The following is a 24,270-nucleotide window of genomic DNA, read 5'->3' as shown; positions in this document are numbered from 1 at the left end:
GGAAACTATCATTATCCACAGTACTCAAGGCTTTCAAAACATAATTGAAAGTTTTTGCACTCTATTTTTCAAAAGGCAAGAATATCTATTTCACACGTGCTGTATGTCATCATTGTGTTTTTTTGCCTAAGACTTAGCTCAGGAGACAGCACATTTATCAGTAAGGAGTACCAGTTTGTTGAAGTGAGCTGTTTCAGTATCATCTCTGAAGGTTCCCTTTATCTAATCCCTTCCTTAAAAACTTTAGCTTCTGCAGCTTTAACAAAATCTGCACTAATCAGTATCAGTTTGCTTATATCCATAAGGCAAAACTGAAAACCTATAATTTTGACTTATTTTTTAAAAAAACACACGAAAACTCAAAATTGTCTGTAAGGCCAAGCTTATAGCTTTAATTAGGGCAAATTATTAAAGTTCATATAGATTTATCTGTGTGTTATGCTTTAGTTATTTGTAATGCAAAGTGCTACATTATTTCTATTAGAAATTATAACTAATACTTATTTGAACAGTTTTATTCAAGTTTTAAGGCAATCATTTGTAAAGATTCCATATAATTTGAGTTTGAAATAATTTATAGGTGGTTGGTGAGACATAGCTTAAAATGAGAGAAAAATTTACTCATTATGAGAATAACAGAAAAAAAATTTATTTTCCTCTCATTTTACTTATTTTATTTACATTTTAGAATATCGCTTAAAAACACAAACTTTAAGAAAAAAGAAAAAAACATAAACTGTTGTTAAATGCTTTAGTACCACGTATGCTAAAATATGTTCCTTCCCCAAAGAAGTTTTAAATATTTGAATTAGGTGCTATAATTTAAAAGCCAGTCTAATTAAATCCCTAAAAAGTTAAAGAGTCTTCATAGAACAAAGCAGAAACCATAAGATAACACACTAAAATGGACAATAACCATCAATACAGGAGAAAATACAGAATTTATATACTTTATGATACAGTTAAAAATAAACTATGGAAAGACAATAAGTCTTTCTAAATAAAACTATAAGATAATAAAATGTGCCCAAGGTTTTCAAACTGTTTTAAACTATTAATATCTCCTTTGTGTTTTTCCTTTTTTTTTCTTTTTTTCCCAATATTTCCTTACCTCAGCAAAGAACAGTAATTTTAAGTCCCATTAGGATGCCATAAGAAATAGTATGTATGTAGTATGTAAGCCAGGTGTGGTGGCTCACGCCTGTAATCCCAGCACTTTGGGAGGCCGAGGCAGGTGGATCATTTGAGGTCCGGAGTTTGAAACCACCTTGGCCAACATGGTGAAACCCCATCTCTACTAAAAATACAAAAATTAGCCGGGCATGGTGGTGGGCACCTGTAATCCCAACTACTCGGGAGGCTGAGGAAGAGAATCACTTGAGCCTGGGAGGCAGAGGTTACAGTGAGCAGAGATTGTGCCATTGCACTCCAGCCTGGGTGACACGAGCAAGACTCCATCTCAAAAAAAAAAAAAAAAAAAAAAAGGAGAAAGAAAGAAATAGTAGTGTATATTTGAACCATTCCTCCTATATAAAAAAATAGCATATTTTGTTGTATATATCAACATTTAAATGCAAAAAAGTTACTTTTTCTGTTAGTTATTCTCATCTGGAGTTTATTGAGTAAAGGAAACATACAGTAAAGCCCAACCCTGCCATAGTGATTACTAGGAGCACCTCTCCCCTACCCTACCCCGCTTCAAGTCTTTGATATATCTGAGAACAGGAATCTCAAATAATCTCAACAGGTAGTGTCTAGCCTCGGTGACAGAGGGAACACATTACTCTCAAATTAAAATCTTACTGAAGTTCCCAATTGCCTCAATGACTGAAATTCATCAGTATTTTCATCTGAAGTATCCCTATGTCTGTACAGCACTCCACACACTATACTTTTAGATACAGGTTCAACGATAAAAAATACTCTCACGTGAACTTAGTTGGAAAGATATGAGTCCCAAAAAACCTGGTCGGTTGTTCTATAATGCTAATATGGAATGTCAACATATAAATTATAATGCTGATATATAAAGAGATGCGTTTTATGTACATGTGTATATATTTTAATGACTAGACACAAAGTGACTTCACCTTTTTGATTTATTAATCATTTTCTAAAAGCCAGGTTTTGATGTGTTCAACTTTCCAGCTACAAAATTTTAAGTAATACGACAAATATAACAAAAGCATTTAGTGGAAAACAGTTAAAATATGAAGCCTGCCATCTTTAGGTCTTTCTTTTCAAGACTATGCAAACAAAAACAAGGCAACATCCACATGTAGCATTTTAAATACTCGAAGTTTTGGAAGAAAAGGTTGCCTCACCGTCATCTCATTCTGCCCTTAGAGACATTTATGTTGTGCTAAAATGGCATTATTTCTTCAAAGGATTTCATTCATTCATTCATTCATTCATTCATCACTTATTCATTTATACTGAATATTTCAGTGAGCAATATACATCACAGAAGGGGAGATCAAACAATAAAGGTGATGCTTTCTCTAGGAAGGGTTATTGTAAAAATGGGAGAGAAAATAGAAAGTCATGAATTCACCCAGGACATAACTTTTTCTAAATTGAACTAGCTGTATCGGTTCTTCTTCCATCCTAAAGGAAACATCTGTCAGCAAACTAGGTGAACTAATAGATTCCCTAATGTGTTAGAAAAGACTGTGCCTTGATTCATTCAAAATATAATAGATAAATACAAAGACCCTCTCAGGGATGTACTAATTGCATTAGTGTTCATGGAAACACAACACATCAAAAATCATCTGTTCCTAACTACTTCTTTTATGTCCTAGAGTTATAGCACAGGCAGAAGGGGACATATTTTAAACAGAACCTTAGAGAAAAGGAAGGTGAGAGGCTGCAAGTTAACACTTCTGGAGACAGTTTAAAGGTAGCCCTATCAGTGTGGAAACATAAAGTGCCATTACCTCACCCACTAACATTTGTGAAAACAATCAGGACACGCTTGAGTATGTATGCTAAATCTAAATGTAAATTTTCATTTATAATTCATAAGTAGTCACAGTGCTAGTGATAAAAATAAATTATTAACATCACCTGTTTAATGAAAATGTCTTCATTTGTACATTCAGGATGTTCCCTGGTGATGTAAAACACTTCCACGTTTCTATTAAACTATTTTAACCAAAATGTTTATCAAAATAGCTCATTTTAAATAAGTTAAAACATGTAATCTAGTTAACAAACTTCATTTATCCCTTTCTTTGTGTATGTTTCCAGGTCATGATCACCAACTAGGCATAAAGCTTCACTACTCTGCATAATTCCACGTTCAAGGGTAGAGAATTGCACCATGCCCACAGGACAATTCTATCTGGTCACCTTCAGTGTGAGGGTCAAGCTGTGCAGTCCCCAGAAAGAAACATTAAATAAGACAACTTCATAATGCACTAGGGAGGAAATCACTTACTATTCATGTCGACAGAAAAGAAGAGAAGATGGATCACAGCAACTCTGTATGCTCAAGGAGGACTCAGGAAGGCCCCAGGTTCCAGTTCCAGGAAAGTGGATTGCTTTAAAGTGGTTAACAGCAACCCTTTGATGAAATGCTTAGGTTTACTGCAAATTGGCACTGGGTGAAAAATGAGAGCCCTTCCTTACTTTACCTTCAAATTAATCATATTGTCCCATTGATCTTTGTTTTCTGTAATGTGCTTCTCACAATCTTTTCCCCTCTTTTGTACAGAAAAGCAATCTTCAATGAATTTTAAACAATTATGGAGACTATTTCCTCGCATATTTACTTCGCCCTACAGGTGACTTAAGAAACAATATGCTTTCTTCTCTTAGCAAATAAAAATGTGTTCTCACTCTGCTCATTTCTTATGACAAAGTAAACATTAGAAAAATAATGGCCAATGTTTACCTGGTATTCAGAACACTGAGTTAAATGCATTCAACCTGTTAAAGACTATTTTTAATGGGAATGATTAAAGATAATTACAACCCTTTTCCCTTGAGCAATTTATTAGCCCCCTTTGGATTAAATACTTGTCTGCTGTAATTTTTAAAGGGCAATTGTTTTCATATCTATTAAGCCTTTCCCTCAATACCTAACCATAAAACCATTCAAAAGCTACAATGTTATAAACATCATAAAGGCCTAGCAGATTTATTTTCTGTTCATGTTTGTAAAAATAATTTCCTTTCTGACTTCTGCTACTCATTGCATTGAACTAAATGATGATGTCCTAATTGTTCTTCTGAAATACAAAATGAACTTTATTTTGGTATGTTTATAGTAAATAAATGTAAATGTAATCTAGAATTTAAAGAAAAACAGATTAATATAAGACGTAACCACAAAGCACACAAACCAAGGGTGATGAAGTTTATACTCTCTACTACATATTAAACAGAAAATATATTCATTCACAAATATATGTTGAGCACCTACTACCTGCTCAGCACTGGGTATATACTTGCAAACAAAACAGAGACTGAAGGAGGTTACTATCCCATTGTGTATATGTTTCGAAATTATGATAAATGCAATCAAGGGGGATATAACAGGAAGAACTTAATTTGATTATTAGGAGAAAGCCTTCTTTAAGCATAGTCCTGACAGACAAATGGAATTAGCCATGGTAAGAAGTGGAAAAGAACATTCCTGGCATAGTGTCCAGCACAAGTAGTCTTTAAATGCAAAAGGCCTTGGTCAGTTCTAGATCACAAGTTCCCCACCTTTTGGCACCTGAAACTGGTTTTTCAGGTGACACTTTTTCCATGGAGTAGTGTGGGCGGCAGGAGGAGGGTTTGGGGATGATTCAAGAGCATTACATTTACTGTGCACTTTATTTCCATTATTATTACATTGTAATATATAATGAAATAAGTATACAACTCACCATAATGTAGAATCAGTGACAGTCTTGAGTTTGTTTTCCTGTAAGTAGACAGTCCCATCTGGGGGGATGGGAGACAGTGAAAGATCATCAGGCATTAGGTTCTCATAGGCAGCACGCAACCCAGAGCCCTCGAATGCACAGTTCACAAACAGGGTTCTCGCTCCTTTGAGAATCTAACGCAACTGCTGATCTGGCATGAGACGGAGCTCAGGTGGTAATGCGAACGAGGGGGAGAGGCTGTAAATACAGATGAAGTTTCACTCTCTCACCCACCGCTCACATCCTGCTGTGTGGCCCAGTTCCTAACAAGTCACGAGCGGTACTGGTCCGGGGCCCAGGGGTTGGAGACTCCTGTTCTAGAGACTAGAATAATGTCAGTGTAGCTAGAAGATGACTGTTACTTGTGAGGAATGAGAGTGGTGGATAGATTTGTTATTGATTTGGAAGGTAGACTCCACAGGACAGGGCTCAGCCTCGTGCAAGTAAGGAAACTTGATTATGCGCAATCCCTTTGCCATAGGAAACTGATGGTTTCCTAATCACGTTTTAAATGGCCTAGAAAGACCCTGGAACAGCAAAGACAGCAGTGGCTGGCAGAAGACAGAATCTACACACACAACCAACTCCAGCCTTCCCCTCAAATGGATTCTGCAGAACAGGCTCCGTGACCCTCAGGCAAGCTGCTTAATAGCCATGCTTTCCAAAACAGCATCACTCATCTTAAAGGAGTGACAGGAGAAACAATGGATGGCAAAATCCACTTCATTTTTCATTTATGAGTTTTGCGAATGGGGAAGAAGGTGTTTTTCTTATTTTCTAGGCATAGAGCCTAGGCTATGAAGTCTTAGCTAACTTTACAAGTAGTCATTATACAACAATCGTAAAGGACATGTATCATAAAACTACCGGTTTCATTTTAATTTAATGCTATTTTAGACTTTACTGACATATTTTTACTGAATGAGCAGGTGTTTCTAAAATGTAAGTTTTCCGGGCCTGGAAACATGTTCATTTATTGGATTTTATGGAAGAAGAATAGCCCTACTTTAGGAGAAGGTATATTCCTTCTTAGAAAGAGAATGCTCTATGTAAAATATTTCCTCAGAAGGATGTAGATAAAACTGCTAACAGTAGCTGTTCTTAAAGTAAAGAGACTGCGAGAAACAGTCAGAAGGGACTTTCCTTTCACAGCATAACCTTCTGCGGCTTCCGAAAGACTTAGTCTGCTGGTACTCATATAAATATATGAGTAAACAAAAATGGATAAAGAAGCCACTTATGACTTTTCCCCGGTCTGTAAGACACCATTCATTACACCCTGGTGTATATCGAATCCATCGGCAAGTCTTCCAAACCTGGCCTGTTTCTTATTTGTACTGAGCACCTCTCACTCCTTCTCACAAGGACCCACAAAGCTTGCCCTTGTTTCTACTCTTTCCCCATCACAGTCCATCCTCTACGCAATAGCCCGAGATACCTCTTTGAAATGTAAATCAAGTTGTGCTACTTCTCAGCTTAAAACCTGCCAAGAAATTTTCTTTATATTTAGAACAAAATCCAGACTGCTAACTGGGATCCACAATACCCTATCTATCCCATTCCATGCCTCCTTTACCTTCATTTGATATCACTCCTGCCCCCTTTGCTGACAACTCTCTTGGCATAACAGTTATAGTGGGTTGAATAGTGTGTCCCCCTGCAAAATCCATGCCCATCCACAATGCCATCGTATGACCTTATTTAGAAATAAGATCTTTACATCTATAATTAAGGGAAGGATGGAGATGAGATCATACTGAATTATGGTGGGTTCTAAGTTCAATGAAAATGTCCTTAGATAGAAAAAGACACACACACGCACACACACACACTCACACAGTGGAAAAGTCCATGTGAAGATGGAGATAGAGTTATACTGCCACAAACCAATGAACATCTAAGCCACCAAAGCTGGAAGAGGCAAGGAAGATGCATTAGTTTCCTAGGGTTGTTGTAATCAATTATTACAAACTGAGTGGCTTAAACAACAAAAATTTATTGTTTCACACTTCTGGAGGCTACGAAGTCCAAATCCAAGATGTTGGCAGAGTTGGTTCCTTCTATTGAACAGGAGGAAGAATCTCTTCCATCCACTCCTCCCAGCTTCTGGGGGCTTGCTGGCAATCTGTGGCATTCTTTGGCTTAGAAATCCATTATTCCAACCTCTCATCATCTTCATATGGATTCTCTTTGTGTCTCCGTATCCAAATTCTCCCTTTTTATAAGGACACCAGTCGTATTGAAATTGGGCCCATGATAATGACCCTTTTAAAATTTTACTCTCTCTGTAAAGACCTTATTTCCAAATAAGATCACATTCTGAGGCACCAGGGGTTATGATTTTAACAAACATTTTTGGAGGGACACAATTCAACACATATCAGCGCTCTTCCCTAGAGCCTTCAGAGAAAGTGTGGCCCTACCAACACCTTGATTTCTTGCTTGCATATTGTCTCTCCCCCTCAAGGACTCTATCAAGACAGTGCAAGAAGAGCAGGCACCTGGTCCGTGCTGCTCACCACTCTAATCCCAGTGCCTAAAAGAGTGTTTCATACAAAGGAGCTGCTGAATACATGTTTACTGAATTAATTAAAGAATAAGAAAGTTATTCAATCTAACCACCACCAGATGTGTCAACAAAATGTTCAAGTAGTCTATGCATGAATGACTGAAGTACTAGAAGTCACTGACTTACAAGAACAAAGATATTCCATCAAAGTATAATTTTATTAGTATATTCTTTATTTTCTTCATTGAATCAATATATATTTCAGTAAAATGTCCACCTATGACCTTAACTCCAATTTCGTTCCTTTGTGTTAAATATGACAAGTCCAGTCATTCTCCCACATGATTATGAAGATTTGAAGAATATCATGATCCCAATCGACTTCTTTGCCAACAAAGCATCCTCATTCTTTCAACTATTTTTCATATTTTTATTTGTCTTAAACACATTCAGACCTCTTCCTTCTCCTAAGTGAACTCTTTCACTTAATTCCAATGGTCTCTCTCTCTTAAAATTTAGCATTTTTGCATACTGCCTGAGAGCACACATTAAGCACACGTAGTGCCCTTATAGTTTAAATTAGAGATCAGCACACTCTCTCTTAACGAGCAAGACTGTAAATATTTAGGCTCTGTGAGCCACACAGCGTCTGCCACAGCTACTCAATTCTGCCTTGGTAGAAAGAAGGTAGCCATAGACTGTGCTTAAACAATTGAGCGTGGCCATGCTCAAATAAAACTTTATTAGTGAACAAGAAAATTCAACCGAATAAAAATTTTATGAGTCACGAAATAGCATTCTACTCCTGATTTATACTAATGACTTAAAAATGTAAAAAAATTTATTATAGTTTGCGGATCACAAAACCAAGCAGCAGTCCAGAGGCTGCAGTGTGCCCACCTTTATTTTAGATAATATGTTCTATTTAATGAAGCCTAGAAACATACTAGCCTGCGGAAGTGGGCTGGGCACTATACTGTGGAATTATGTTGAATTTAATGTTCACAAAAACATTACTTTATTCACGTATTCTACTTCCAATTCTGCCCTCCCTCATGCTCTTTTGTTGCCATTCATTCTTTCTCACAAATCAGTAATGAGTTTGAATTATATTTTAAGATATATTTATATCATACTTTGGGGTGAATTTTGAACTTGCCTGTTACGTGACTAACAGGCAAGTTAGTGAGAGATAAGAGTTAGGCAGAGATAAGAGGCTTTAGAAACCAGCAATGGAAAAAAAGATTCTGCTTTATTCCATGCAATGTTCATTTAAACAAAGATTATATTCTTAATAGGGTGGTGATTCGTTCATTCTCCTTTAAAAGAGTCAAAATAAAATGGCTTCTATCACTTCCCTTGAGAAATCATGACACAATAGAAGGAAACTTGTAGGCAAAAGTTGTCTTAGTTTTATTTCCTTTCAAACACATAAGACATAAAGCTTTCTTTTGTCACAAAAATATATTTTCTTATATCAATTAAGGCTTACCCCCTTGATGTAAATATTAAACCAAAAGCCTGTGCACTCTCAGTGGTGAGAGAAAAGTAGCACTCAAAAATAAAGGGCAGCCTCTTCCCTTTAGTTACAACTTTATGAAAACAATGACAGAAGACTAATGGTGTGTTTTTGGAAAATTTTACAAATATACACTTCTAAGCATTTTGAGAACTAAAAATGTACCAAGAATAAATAAAGTAATAATAACACAAAGAGAAACACAAATAAAGCAAAGACTTAGACGTGATTTAGAACTGATGTTTATGTCTTAAACAGGTATACTCTAGAAAAAACTAATAATTATGATTTTAAAGTACTCATCAATAAAATAAAAAAGAAAAAAGTTCTGAAACATCCTCAGCATGCTCTTTAAAATTGGGATAACCTGGTAGCTTTGAAAGAAAACAGTACATATAGGGCGCATTCCTCTGATGCCTCTTATTTTAACATCAGCCATGGTTTTCTCATCTATTTTCTGAAGGTCTGCGTCTACTGTTTCTAAGGTCCACTGAGGCTAAAGACAATATATCAGTAGAAAACATGTGACTTTCATCAAAGAATTTATGAAAAGAAAAAACAAACACTCAATTCAGCACTGAGTCTATATCAAGCACGGTGTTAGCTATTTTCACATGTTACCTTGCTTAATGCTATTCTCACAAAAATCCTGTGATATTTTCCCCTATCTTTTCAGTCTGTTATGCATATCCAATTCAAGCGCAGCTTATTTTAGAGACACATATATGACACATATATCAGTTCTTTCTAATTCGGTATACAGGGATAAAATGCTTCCTTTTCTGTACTCACAGTTGTCTGCTGACTTAACTTTTGTTAAATAAAGACGTTAATAAAAATATCAGGGGCAAGTAGTAAAAAGTAAATACAAAGTTTGGGAATAAGCAAAACTGAGTGTTGAGTTTTAAACTGATGGAAGACTAGTGCTCACTCACTATAAATTACCTTAAAATTCTACTCACTATAAATTATTACATGTTTGGAGGGACTCTGGCTTCAGTTAGGATGTTTTGCAAAGGGAAGCTTTGATAAATCCAATACTACAACTTATGCAGTCACGAAAAATCAAGTACAGACAGTTTTTGAAATCTTTGGAAAAAGTGCTATGGCCTAGCAACAAAGGCAAGCTGTTTTGTGTTTTTGTTTTGCAGTGTGTGTGTGTGTGTGTGTGTGTGTGTGTGAGTGTGTGTGTGTGAGAGTGTGTGAGTGTATGTGTGTGTTGCAGGGGTGGAGGGGGGAGGGGAAAAGAATCTTTTCTTAAAATATTTAAACTAAAAGCAAATGAAGAGTCAAACATTTGCAAACTAAAAATGGGTGTTGATTTTTAAAAGTAGTGCAAGGATACCAAAGATTTGTCTGTTTCTTTTCTTTGGAGAAAATAGAAGGATAATTAAGTAACTGTACTATGTCTTAATCTAATCTCCCAATACATAACACTAAACAATCATTCCCTACAAATTCTTTAGATTGCCTACTTGTACTATCAAAAAGTGTTTAAAACCAAAAATAAAAGCAATCACTCCCCCTAAGAAATACAGATTATATAATTAAAGTACTGTCCTATTTAACATTAACATATATACCTCTATACATTAACTTATTTCCCTACTGTTAGTCCTTTGATTGTACTCACATTGTTATATGATTTCTGGGAAATACCAAATACAAATACTTTTTTCACATAGAGATTGCTGTCTAACAAAATTTTTCTAATTGATAACACATTTTTAAAGAAATTATATGATTAGACTATAATTAATACAGGAAACTATAGAACAAAGAGTTGACTTTGAAGCCAATTTTTTTCCAACTGCAGTTAATGTTGTCAGAGTTATTATTACCAATGTCTTTTGACATCTAATATAATTATGCATTTAAATGTTAAAGGTTTTGACATAAATGAATAATTTAGTTAACTAGAATGTAAAGGCAATCTTGATTTTTCTCAATATAATTGAATGAAAGTACTTATAAAACTACTACTAAGACAAGGAAGTGGCCTCTTCAAAATTATTCCATCTGTTTATCTTGCGATTTCCCATAATCACACCCAACTTAATAAACATACTAGATTGTTTCTGTGCTGTTATCGATCACCAAATTGATTATGATGAGACATAATTCACCCTTGTCACAAGTGAACAGACATGGTCTGAGCCATTTTTATACACATTTTTTTAAAAACCCATGACCTAGAAAAGCATTTTCCTTTGTAGTAAGAAATAGCTTCGGCTTCGATGCCAGCAAAGTCCTGGGAGAATGCCAATTACGCCAATTTTGCAAAAACAGATGTATCTTGATTTTGCGATATGGACTATTTTACACTAGGGACAAAGACCAAACCATTCATCTCAATTTACTTAGGACTGAGGCTTAATTTGAACTCTGACCTCAGAGTGGTAAGGTCATTTGTATATCCCATAATAGCATGAGGCACTATTTTCAAAGAGAAACATATATTTGACTTCATATTTCAATAATTTTCTAATTACTAATGCAAACAATAACATTATTTTACTATTTTAGTTGCTCCTTAAAATTAACCAATTTTAAGAAATGTTTAAATTTGGGCCATTACTAAGGTAACAAAGTATTTAATCAATAGCATGGATGATGGCCATTGATTGAAACTTCTCATTTAAGGTACTCTCAATCTTGATCACCAATACTCAAATGACATCTGACTAAAGATTGCAAGAAACCTTGTTACTTGCTGACTTTAATGGAATTTTGAAAATAGGTCACAAGAATGACAGGTAATTGGGTTTAGATACAAAAAATACAAAGAGAAACAATAGGATATTTTTCACAATTAATTTTGAAGAAAGTTTTTGGTGGTCATTCATTACTTGTTAAGAAAAAGACAAAATTTATTTCCATAAAACTGGATTCCAACTTTTGTTGACCAACTTCTGTTTATTAAGAATCTGACTGACTCTGTTATTTAAAACGTCTCTTTAATATGTGATTTATTGCTCTACTCTTTCCCAGGGAGCTTCTGAGAATTAATGAGACAATTGCCAAGTGCTTGAAGCTCCTTGGGAAAAGACTGTGATAGTATTACTAAACATTATTGTGATTATTATTATTTTATATGCAGTTCCCTCTGATGTATTTTTTCTAGTTGATTTACTTAGTGCCCTTGATTAGGCCAGATCCACTTTACATTAGAATCATTGAATAAAAATATGTTGTGAGCACCTCTCCTTTCCAAATCTGGGAAGTCATGCAATTCTGATCAGTTTCCAAAAACCCATTTTTGCTTTCAGCTGAGAATTAAAGCTATCAAGACCTCCATATTCCTTGGTGGCCATCAACCTTATGAAAAAATGATACCTGTGAATACCAGAGTATAATTATTACAAATATCTTGTCATAGAAAATAATTCATTCTCCCTTTTCCCTCAGAAGAAAATCAAAATATTTGAGTAAGGAAGCACAAATCATTATGAAATAGATTGGTTTCTGCTTCAAGGATCTATCTGTCCCAAATTTTTTAGCTCTTCAAAACTACTACACTTTTTATTCTGAAATGAAATATGTTTTTATAGGCTGGGTGTGTTGGCTCACACCTTAATGCCAGCACTTTGGGAGGCCAAGGAGTGTAGATCATTTGAGGTCAGGAGTTCAAGACCAGCCGGGCCAATATGGCAAAAACCTGTCTCTGCTAAAAATACAAAAGTTAGCTGGGCATGGTGGTGCATGCCTGTAATCCCAGCTACTTGGGAGGCTGAGGCTGGAGAATCGCTTGAACCTGGGAGGCGGATGTTTCAGTGAGCTGAGATTGTGCCACTGTACTCCAGCCTGGGTAACACAGTGAGACTCTGTCTCAAAAAAAAAAAAAAAAGATACATCCAAGTATTAATTTTATTTAAATATTTGTAATATAAAATTGCAATTTGTATAAAAATATATTTCACTACTCATTTTTTCCTTTGCTTGAATTTTGTCTTACAAACTTTTATAAACTAATGTTTACACCTTACTTTTCTTTCTTTGAAAGGAATAAACAATACAATTTAATACATTTTTAAGGTAATTTTAAAAATAAAATCAAACGTTTATAACAAAAAGCATAATAAGTGAAAACAATGAACACAAGCATTTACCTTTTATGACATTATAGCTTAACAATACCAACATAAGCATATAATTTTTCTGCAGGCTTTAAAGATAACATGAAGAAAATAGATTTACCCTTCATCTAGGTATGTGCACTAACAAGTACAATGCAAAGTGTTTATTATGAATGTTCTTAAATGAGAAATAGCTTTTAAACTTACAAGGATAGATAGGCAATTGCCCAATCAAACTTTGAACACATAAATTGTATATGTTCAGGAGATGATAAGTAGAGTAATTTTTAATTTGCACCCTCTATTGATGAAGTCAGCAAAACCAATGGAAACCAGTAGTTTTGGCTGAGTCTAGAATAGGCAGAGAGAAAGAAGAGCTGAATTAAATGGGCCATCTCGATTGAATTCAACGAATATTTATTAAACACTTCCTTATGTATACGTTGCTTTGCTACAGACTACAAACAATATCAAGTTAAGAGCAAAGAGCTCTTCACACGAAGTAGCCTAACGTAAGTGTGAGTCATAAAGCACATATGTAAATTACTACAATTCAAGTAAGTTATAATCCAGGAGAAAGGAAGAAAGAGTTACATGATTATGGGAATTGAAGAGGTCAGGAGATCTGTCAAACTTCCATCAGCTTCCCTGTCTTGCAGCACACACTTGAAATGGTTTTATTTTTCTGGTGAAACTCCTAATTATCTCCCTAAACACACCCCCTTTTCACACACTTTGCTCCTGTCTTACTGATTTCCAGTTCCTCTGCAACCTCCTCCTATTTTATTCCTTACCATCTTCACATTATCAAATCTAAGCACATCAAGAATTGCATGAGAGAGCTTTTAGAAAACAGACACGTACACTCCTCTCCCAGCCATTTCATGTAACTGGTTAGGGGTGGCAGATGGGCATAGCCCTTGGCGAAACCTTACTCTGAACTCAACCCAAGCTGTCCACTTCTAGATCCTGCTCCCACCCTCATGATGTTTTCAGTTCCCACCCTATATGCTTTAATAGTCCACCAGTTTACTTCTGAGCTAAAAATTGATGATGCTCTACAGTATTCAGAGACACCAGTAGGCCTTAGCTGCCTGTAAATTCCCACAGCAGTATAATATTCCTCTAATGTATTTTTATTATCCTTGGGATAAAATTCAGAATCTTTATTATTAAAAAAAATGTAACTGGGAGGCCATTAGACTAGATTAGCTCTGGCACTTTAAACTCATACATATACAAACTAATTCACAATGTAAATAGCAAACTGACACTTAAAACTGCACCAATCAGAAACCACCAACTAACCTCTCACTAGGAATTTTCCACTCAAATCAATCAAAACTGGCATTTTTTTTGTGTGTCTTGCTTCTGTAAACACTTTATAGAAGTTCCCCCTCTTGACCCTCCTGGTGGAGTGCTAAGTACCTTGCAGTGTGGTGGAACTCCAATTTATGGGCCACTGGATGCCCAGATAAACTTTTTAAAAGTTAAATATGCTTAAGTTGTTTTTTCATAAGCTCTGGTGTCAGAAGTGTGACCTAAAGGCTACCACACAATCATGACCTCTGGGAGAAATTAAGTAAACAGGAATAAGTACCCAGCTGTGCCCCTTCTGCTCACTCCTTCTTCCTATACATTTGGAGGTCATCACCACTAAGTCCTCTTGGATACACGAGTTCCACAACTTGGGTCCTGTTCTCTGAGTTTATTTGAGTATTTTTTAAAAATCTGAACTAGGTTTGGAAGTCTTAATAGAAACTGCACTGCATTCTGTCAGGAGCCTTTAGGTGCCTGACTGGGTTAGACAGAAACTGAATTGGGTTTAAACACCTCTGGTAGGAAAGGTTCCCAGAAGACAGAAATAATGAGTTTATTTAAATCCAGAGAGTCTAAGACTCCATCTTGGAACCTGTGCTTTTCTAGAGAAATGGGTGAATCTTAACAAATATAATGTAGAATTTTGGTGGCCACAATGGGAAAGTTTTAACCTAAGTAAAACTGCTCATCTATAGGGCACATACATCAAAAGGGATCCCAAACACCTCAAAACCATAGGATGCAGTTTTGACTGACATGTAGAGACCTCTAAACTCTCGGTTTCTCTCTATTATCCTTTGCCTACTTTGAATCTACTAATGTTTTCACTGGTTTACCTGCTCACCTCAAAGGGAAAAAAAAGAAAGAACCAGATCAGTGTTGACAAAAGGATGTCAGATCAACCAGGTCTGCTTTATAACCACTGTTATTCCTTGCTCAAAGTCTTGAGCTCAGATGAATAATAAACGGTATTCCTGTCCTGCATAGAAAATGCTTTGTCCCTATATGTTAATTGGTTCCACCCGGAACTCAGTAATCCTGTTAAAGACATGTTGACAGGACCAAGGGAAGCTCAAAAATGGATGCAAGAGGCAGAATGGTATCATTGTGAGGACACGATCCATGGTGATAAGTCCCCATTTGGTTCACATATGTGCCAGAAAAAGCTCAAAAAAACTAAAAACAATCTTCTGAAAGCCATTCCTGAATTGTTTCCCCACTCACACTGACTGGACAATCAACCAGACCTACAGACAGAAGGAAGATGAATCCGTTACTGATTTCAAAAACCACTCAGAGCTTTTGTTTTTCTTATGGCATTCCAGGAAACCCAGCCTACCCTTGCTGCCCTTTTTGTAAAAAGATTCTCCCCAGGTATTATTTGGAGACATAGGAAAAAAAGTTAAAAATTTTAAAAAAGGTAAGGAAATAAGCCATAGGTTTAGCTAGGTTAGCTGAACATGTGTAAAGAATCTTAGAACAAGGTAAGAAACAAAGGGCTTCCAAATTAATGGCCTTGCAATTATAGCAACTCCAGGGCAACCAACAATTTAGACTGACCTTCAGACTTCTCCTAATAAATGACTTTTAAATCAACAACTTATCTGCTTCCGTCTGTATGTACATGCATGTCTTTGTATGAACATATGTATGTTATGTGTATGTGATATTTTGGGATGATATTACTAAACAAATTTATAAAATTAAAAAAGAATGAGCTGGAAATGTCCTGCACCTGTCGTCCCAGCTACTCAGGAGTCTGAGGCAGAAGAATCCCTTGAACCCAGGAGTTCGAGGCAGCATTGAGCTATGATTGCACCACTGTCTTCCAGCCTTGGTGACGGGGCAAGACCCTGTCTCTTTAAAAAAAAAAAAAATGTTAGGTTTTCCTGGGTTGCTGGTCAGATGGGTTTGTATTATCTCTGCTAGATGTTTAAGTCAATAACTCCAACCAAAGAGTAAAATATGTAGTAAACATAAATTGCTTGGTGCCTGTTAGTTACAGAATTTAGAAAAAGACAGAGAGGGAAGAATAATGTTTAGCTTTTCAGTTTCTTTGCTTCTGTGATAACTTTGATATTTGCCTGACCTGTAAACACAAATGAAATAAGATGATGGGGTAGGGTAGTGACTGATGACACTTGAGCTGCTGTGGTGGATCTGGATTTGGCAAATAGGAGGTGGTCTAGGGAAAGCCTCTCTCTGCATTTGCTATTTTTCAAGTCCCTTTAGCTCAAAGTGATCAATATACCAAAGTGGAATAGCTTGAGGTGACATTTATTGAACTCCTTCAATGGCTAGCTGTGTTTAGTGTCTTATGAAATTTTTCATGAGCAATCCAAATACAAGTGTTAAGAACAAGTGAATTAGGTAAATATCAATGAAATAAAGGTAGCTCTGTTCATTGTTCTCGAGTTTTATTTTCCACCTGTAGAATGGACTAGATGCGGAATTCTTCTAGGTTTCTCCAATTCAATTTTCTCCCATTTTTCCAACTTGGGATTACTAAGAACAAGAACTCCTCTGTTCCTGAAATGCCATGAGCTGGAATGGGTAGCCTGGCATAATTTCAGAGGACAACCCTCATTCCTGATCTGTGCATGACTCCAGGAGTTCACCAACACACCCAATGCTATAACCAAAGACACTCAAACTGCAAACCAGGAAAACATTATTTGAACTCAAATCTAGAAGTCTTGACTAATTACCCTCTGGACTCAGAGACTGAATTTATAGTTTGCTCTAGTCATTGGTCTTTATTTTTCTTTTATTTCCATAGAAATACTAGTTGGTTTGATTTGTGATGACCTTGGCTGAGGAGCATACTTCAGTCTCTTGGTAGTATTCTCCTGATAGTCACCACTGTAACCCCCCTGGTGTAGTATATACTCTGAAGGGTCTCAAATGTATGTGTGCAGCCATCAAGGGTATGCCAGATGGTCTCACTGTGATTAAAGCAACAAAAATGAGATGAGCAAAAATAAGAACCTTTCTTCAATGAGCCTGATGTCATGACGTATGAGTTTTACACTGAGATAAAGACAACCCAGCCAAGACAGTGACAGAGAGTGATGCTTATGCCCAAACTTTGGTCAATCTCTCATAAATGAGAGGCTGATCAAAAGGAGACAATTAAAAAAAATTGTAATTGGGAAACTATTAAACTGGGGTGTCTCTGGCAATTTAAATTCCCACATCAATAAATCAAAGCCCAACATCAATAGTAAATTGAAACTAGAAACTAACAATCAGAAACCACCAACTAACCTTTAAATAGGGTCTTTCCACTGTAACCAAAATTGTTTTCTTTGTCTTGCTTATGTGAACACTTTATAAAAGATTCCCCTCTTGCCCTTCTCAATGAAATTTTACGCCTTATAGGCTAGTGCTACTCCAAATCATGAATCCTTAAATGTTCAAATACACTGCTTGAAATTTAAATGTACTTACCTTTTTCTTTTATCATTACCTACATAATCTGTGTCATCCAGCCCAGCCTTCTTCCACCTTTCACTGCTTGCAGCTTTACCAGCCACTTGACTTTCTTCCAGGCTTTCAAAGGGACTCCAATCCCTGTCCACTTCGGGACCTTCCTTCTACCTAGAATTCTTTTCTCAGATCTCACTCTTCACATAGCTATCTCCAGTCCTCAACATAATTGTTACTTCCCCAGGGAGTTCTCCAGGCACAAAAATCTAAATTTCATAGATTTTATAATCTGCTTATGACACCCTATATTTTTCTTTCATAATACTTAAAAATTCAATCACAGGTATAAACATATTCAGCACGATTATTTGTCTTTCTCACCAAAGTAAAAACTCACCACACTGTTACAAGTATTCAGCACATTGCAGATGCTCAGTAAATACATTCTAATGAATTAATATATACATGTGATTGTGTGCTAACTAATTAACAATAACGGTCAAAAACTTGGAAATAGTAAAACAACATGCAATTAAAAAGCAACTAAGGCCAGGTGTGGCGGCTTGCCTCTGTAATCCCAGTACTTTGGGAGGTCGACGTGGGTGGATCGCTTGAGCCCAGGAGTTGGAGACCAGCCTGGGCAACATGATGAAACCCCATCTCTACAAAAAATACAAAAAAAAAAAAATTACCCAAGTGTGGTGGTGCAGGCCTATAATCCCAGCTACTCAAGCTGAAGTGAGAGGACCACCTGAGCCCAGGAAGTCAAGGCCGCAGTGAGCCAAGATTGCACCACTATACTCCAGCCTAGGTGAGAGGCGTGAGACCCTATCTCAAAAACAAATAAATAAATAAAAATAAAAGCAACTATATGTTAGTGATATATTTCATAGGTTCATTTTTTCAATTACTTTTTGAAGCATTCTGAAAATATCACTTGAGATCTTTATTAACCCTCACAAGAGCTGGAAAGTTACAGAAGAGGTGTACAAGTTATTCCAGATGGCACACAATAATATTTTATTTAAAATTACAATAGCAGGCTATTGTGAATATTACTTATATTTAGCTGGAACTTTCCAGGTAACTAAACATTAGTGTATTATACTTTTCAATTTCCATTTTTTGTCTCAAGGCAACTGAATAAAACTAGATGGCTATCAAGCAAAAAATATCTAAGCTCAGTTTTCTATTCACCTATTTTATTCAGGTGATACTTGGAAGCTTAGTGAAAGACTTTGAAGAACTTTGTTGTCCCAATAATCTAAGAATTTTCTTAATAACAATTAGGAAAACATCCGAGTATTCTCCTTTTTAATGAAAAAAACAACACATACACCCCAAATAACATTAACGTTCAATCAAAATCCAGCCACATGTTTTTCTTTTTTTTTAATTTTACTTTAAGTTCTGGATACATGTGCAGAACGTGCAGCTTTGTTACATAGGTATACATGTGTCATGGTGGTTTGATGCACCTATCAACCCGTCAGCCACATATTTTTTAAAATATATTGCCAGGACGCGGTGGCTCACGCCTGTAATCCCAACACTTTGGGAGGTCGAAGTGGGTGGATCACGAGGTCAGGAGATCGAGACCATCCTGGTCAACATGGTAAAACCCCGTCTCTACTAAAAATACAAAAATTAGCTGAGTGTGGTGGCACGTGCCTGTAATCCCAGCTACTCGGGAGGCTGAAGCATGAGAATCACTTGAACCAAGGAGGCAGAGGTTGCAGTGAGCCGAGATCATGCCACTGCACTCCAGCCTGGCAACAGAGCGAGACTACATCTCAAAAAAAAAAAAAAAAAAAATCCTCTGGAATCTAAAAGGTATAGCTTCCACATTAGTAATTAACTCACAAAAATGCAATGACTAAAAGACAGATGTGCCAAAGCCTTTGAACTTGGTCTTTTTTTAATATATATACCTTACGTTCTAGGGTACATGTGCACAACATGCAGGTTTGTTACATATGTGTACATGTGCCATGTTGGTGTGCTGCACCCATTAACTCGTCATTTACATTAGGTATATCTCCTAATGCTATCTCTCCCCGCTCCCCTCACCCCATGACAGGCCCCAGTGTGTGATGTTCCCCACCCTGTGTCCAAGTGTTCTCATTGTTCAGTTCCCACCTATGAGTGAGAACATGCGGTGTTTGGTTTTCTGTCCTTGCAATAGCTTGCTCAGAATAATGGTTTCCAGCTTCATCCATTTCCCTACAAAGGACATGAACTCATCCTTTTTTATGGCTGCATAGTATTCCATGGTGTATATTGCCACATTTTCTTAATCCAGTCTATCCCTGATGGACATTTGGGTTGGTTCCAAGTCTTTGCTATTGTGAATAATGCCGCAATAAACATACGTGTGCATGTGTCTTTATAGCAGCATGATTGATAATCCTTTGGGTATATAACCAGTAATGGGATCTCTGGGTCAAATGGCATTCCTATGAACTTGGTCTTTTTTTTTACAAAATTATATGTATGTACGTGTGCATAGACATATGTTTGTATATGTGTGACATGTATATATTCATCTGTGTATATGTGTATATTACATGTCAATTCCTTGATTTATAAAACATCTTCCCTGGATTACGACATGGCCTCAATTCAAGCACCTTAGGTTTCATGTTAGAAATATTAAGCAATAATACATTTGAAAAAAAGTTACAGCCTTAACACAAATTGCCAAAATATTGTATGTCTTGTGTCTGAGTTTTGAGTTATCTGTGGATTTAAAACTATGAAATTTACATCAAATATACAATTTTTTTCCTAAATGCTCAGTTCTCTATATTATCCTGTCTTTAATTTTTTTGAATTGCCCACACAATTTCAAAGAAATAAGAGGTTGCCAACATAACAATCTCAAATGGAATGTTATACAGTACGGTGTCTTCTTATAAGTAAAAAAAACACTGCATGAATTAAGATATTAATAATAAGCAAGATCTTTCAGTTACTAATATATGTCATTTTGTCTTTAATTTGTTGTCTAATCCTAGTGAATCTCATCCAACAAAATTAGGTCTTTATAAACTCTACCAAGTTTGCTAAATACTGCCTCCCTTAACAAACGGTGGTTGGGGGACAAGTTTTTACACAAATGGATCAAGAAAGGATGACTTCATCAAAGAAAGTCTTAGCTACATTAGAGAAAAAAGCTGGGAAACACAGTGGTGGATCTTTGTAGTCATCATCCCTTCCTCGTATTCTGAGGACTTTATCTTGTTGTAACTTGTTTAGACTGAGTGTGGTTTCACAAAGCTGCAACTCAGATATTTCAGGCCTTCCTATGATCTAATGTTTTCCCACGGAAGGAAATTTTTCTCTTTGTGTGAGATAAATACCTACACACTATGTCCTAAATCCTCTCTCAAAAGACATTGCTGGTATTGTGCAGTCATTTGTAAGGACAGTTCAACTTCTCTATTTATCTTTTCAATTTATTGCATTTCACAACTACTTAAAAAGTTACGTTTTATGACAATCATCATTTGGCCAAAGTTCACCTTATAAACATTCTTTTGGTTAATTTTACTTTTAAAACTTAAAATTAGAAGCGAAAAAGTAAGAAATCATCTCGTAGTTATATAAATTTACAGAAATAAACCAATCAGGAATGGGTGTAATAAAGTTAGCCTCTGGCTTTGATTAGTTCCTCAGGGTCAAAAATGTGGTTTTGTTACATTTATTTCACACAAGTTATAATCCAATCCAATTCATGGAAGTTTATATGTGGATATATTATGCGTAAATGAGTCTTCCAAATGTATATTTTTCTCTAACTCTTTATAACCCTCACATGGAATCAAGGTATGCAGAAATCCTGTGACAGGATGACGTGTTAGAAAATCAAGGCAAAAAGGAGTATGAGTCTACCATATTTTCTTTTCCAGCACCTCTATTTCTATGATAAACTCCTCAAGAGATTTTGTATAGTTCTCATCATTTATACATGACTCCCCAGAAAAGGAGTCCCCAGTGAGTTCACAGACTATTATGAGAATGAAAGCCCTTTTATCAATACAGTATGCAATTTACTGGCCCAATCACTAGACCAGTAGAATGGATTTTATATAGACACCCCTAATATCAAGACCATCCCTTATAATATTTATATGCTCTTTGTTACAAAATGATGAATACTGGATGCAGAAGGGTTTGATGTTAGTGGGAAGACGCAGTGGAAGCTGAATAAAAGAAAATCTTTAAAAAATTAACTGTAAAAGTAGTGAATAAAAATCACAGAAGGGTGAGTTCCAAATGAATAGATTTTGTATCTGGTAGTTTTTTTTTTTAAAGAATGAGTGTTTCTCTACTTATTGTTGCACCATAATTCCACAATTAACATGTAGGGACTTTATTATGAGGGCTCTAATCTCATTACTGATGAATGACACATTAACCAAGTTTTACACACACACACACACACACACACACATACACGCGAGATTTTGTGGACTGCAGGCGCCTCTCTGTCACTGGCTGCAGTGACATTACGGCAGGATGCCCATCTGCTTTCAAATGTTGGCTATGAAGTAGCCCCACAGCATTGATGGGAATGTAAAATTGACAAAATAAAACCAATCAGAAGCCCTAGGAATTGGCCTCCATTACCTCTCACTGCCCATCTTAACTTGTTTTTACTTCTGTTTTACTGAGATGCTGGCTCCATTCTATTTCTATCACTCTCTTACATCAGGAGAAAAAAAATGGCGATTTCTATCTGAGGACTAGGGAAAAGGAACAACATATAATTGTGCAGCAAGCAGAGAATCTCACTTGTACAACCTTCTCTAGTCTTTATCATCAGACCTAGCATCCTTATTAACCAGGAATGTGGTAAATGCGACACACTTCATCTGAAGAGTCATTGTCTATGCTTCCCTACTCCATCCAATACTTTCTTCTACTGGAAGGAAGACCCTTGACTTCCACAGAAAATATTACTCTTGAATTTATCTGGGGTCAGATGGCATACGTTGTATAGGTTTCTGCATACAAGTTGTCTATTAAATTTAATAGATCAATTTAATTCACCCAACCTTAATTAAGCCCTAATATGTGTAATACAGTACATATAAAATGAACTAAAACACAAACATGGGCTTTGCTGTATACTGACAGATGGTAGAAATTTCTCTTGGAAGGCTTTATGAATTTGGTCTTGGTTTTGAAGATGCTATATTCACTCTAAAAAGGAACTACTTGAACTTTCCAATGGAAAATCCTTCTCTAGTGTTAAGTAGACAAGCATCTTCCTAAAGAATCTCTCTTTGTACTAACCTTGTTTCTATTCTGCCAAAATCTCTCTCATGTTCTGGCAATGAAGTACAAAATGAAAGAAGTATTTCAACTGCACTTAAGCCACATTCATTGAAAGAGAATCTCCCTAGTCAGTGATGCAATACTCCCTAAATGGGCACTATAATCGCATGACCTTTAAACTGGGATATAACACTCCTAATCTAAATCACATTCTCTCCTTGCGCCAACTCCTGTACTTATCCCCAGGGCCCTTTCAGTGTTATTGCTTTGCTGGCTTCTCCCTCTAGTTAGATTTCTAGATTTCTGATTATTTCCCTGAAGAATTAGTTTACATTTATATACCAAATAAAGCATTAGTTTTTACTCCACTAATATTTTCTGCTGCCTAAATTTTTGTATATCATTATATGTGATTTCAGGGACAGGGAGGGGAGGTTCTGATGGTATTCCAATGTTGAGATTTACAATTTCTTTATCATTTCCCTTTTAAATGACTAATAAAGATGTTAAATCAGACCTCACTTAAAGCTGATCTTGAGACATCACCCACCAAATCGTTACATTTTTATCTCTGATTGCCTTTGGGTATTACCCCCTCTTAACAAGATATTTCACTTCCACAGAGTGAAAACAGATGACAGGAAGCATCACACAGAGTCTTTAACATGTTGTTTGTTCTCATATTCAGATGAAAGTAAAGCCTTTGGAATGAGCATGAGTATATACAGAAGGGCCAGACTAAGCTGCTATATAAAAAATAAGTTTAAAATGTAAAATGAAGAATAGAATGAGAATGACTTTTTAAAAACAAAGACATGGCTTAATTTACTGTCTAAATATTAACAGCCTGCTTAATGTTGGAATCATGCTGAAAAACAGTATGGCAAAGCATTCCCTTGGATTTTCTAGCTGCCACACTCAGGCCACCAAAACCAGAAGCTTTTCTAACTATGCAACTCAGATGGTTGACAAGTTTAATAAACCTTGAGCAATTTTATTTGAACAGTGCCATGTACATAATATAATCAAAAGATAAAAGGAGAGGTCATGAGGATTATAATAATACCACTTTTTAATCCCATATGCTGAACCAGCCTATAGATACAAACATACAGGCATACATATATAAATAACAACTTCTTTGTAATTCACAGACTGTCCCTTATATCCCAGTGCTTATGGGAAACTAACACCTGCCACCCTTAACACTTTCTC

At 36.1% G+C, this 24,270-nt stretch overlaps 1 protein-coding gene across 41 annotated transcripts in view, besides 2 other annotated features; it reads right to left on the bottom strand.

Annotated features, from left to right (window-relative positions):
- ROBO2 (roundabout guidance receptor 2) overlaps nt 1-24,270 on the bottom strand; it is a 1,743,290-nt gene that overhangs the window by 572,808 nt on the left and 1,146,212 nt on the right. The window lies entirely within an intron of this gene.
- Nucleotides 20,732-20,932: a silencer, noted in NCBI's record as "peak4720 fragment used in MPRA reporter construct". NCBI's record gives its function as "represses an SCP1 promoter by STARR-seq MPRAs in K562 erythroleukemia cells {active_cell/tissue: K562}" and the evidence as "EXISTENCE:reporter gene assay evidence [ECO:0000049][PMID:32103011]".
- Nucleotides 20,942-21,142: a silencer, noted in NCBI's record as "peak4719 fragment used in MPRA reporter construct". NCBI's record gives its function as "represses an SCP1 promoter by STARR-seq MPRAs in K562 erythroleukemia cells {active_cell/tissue: K562}" and the evidence as "EXISTENCE:reporter gene assay evidence [ECO:0000049][PMID:32103011]".

This window comes from Homo sapiens, chromosome 3 (assembly GCF_000001405.40).
Source record: "Homo sapiens chromosome 3, GRCh38.p14 Primary Assembly".
In the NCBI taxonomy this organism is placed as follows: Eukaryota; Metazoa; Chordata; class Mammalia; order Primates; family Hominidae; genus Homo; species Homo sapiens.
Note: the sequence above shows the minus strand (reverse complement) of the source record. Positions and strands in the feature narration are given on the sequence as shown.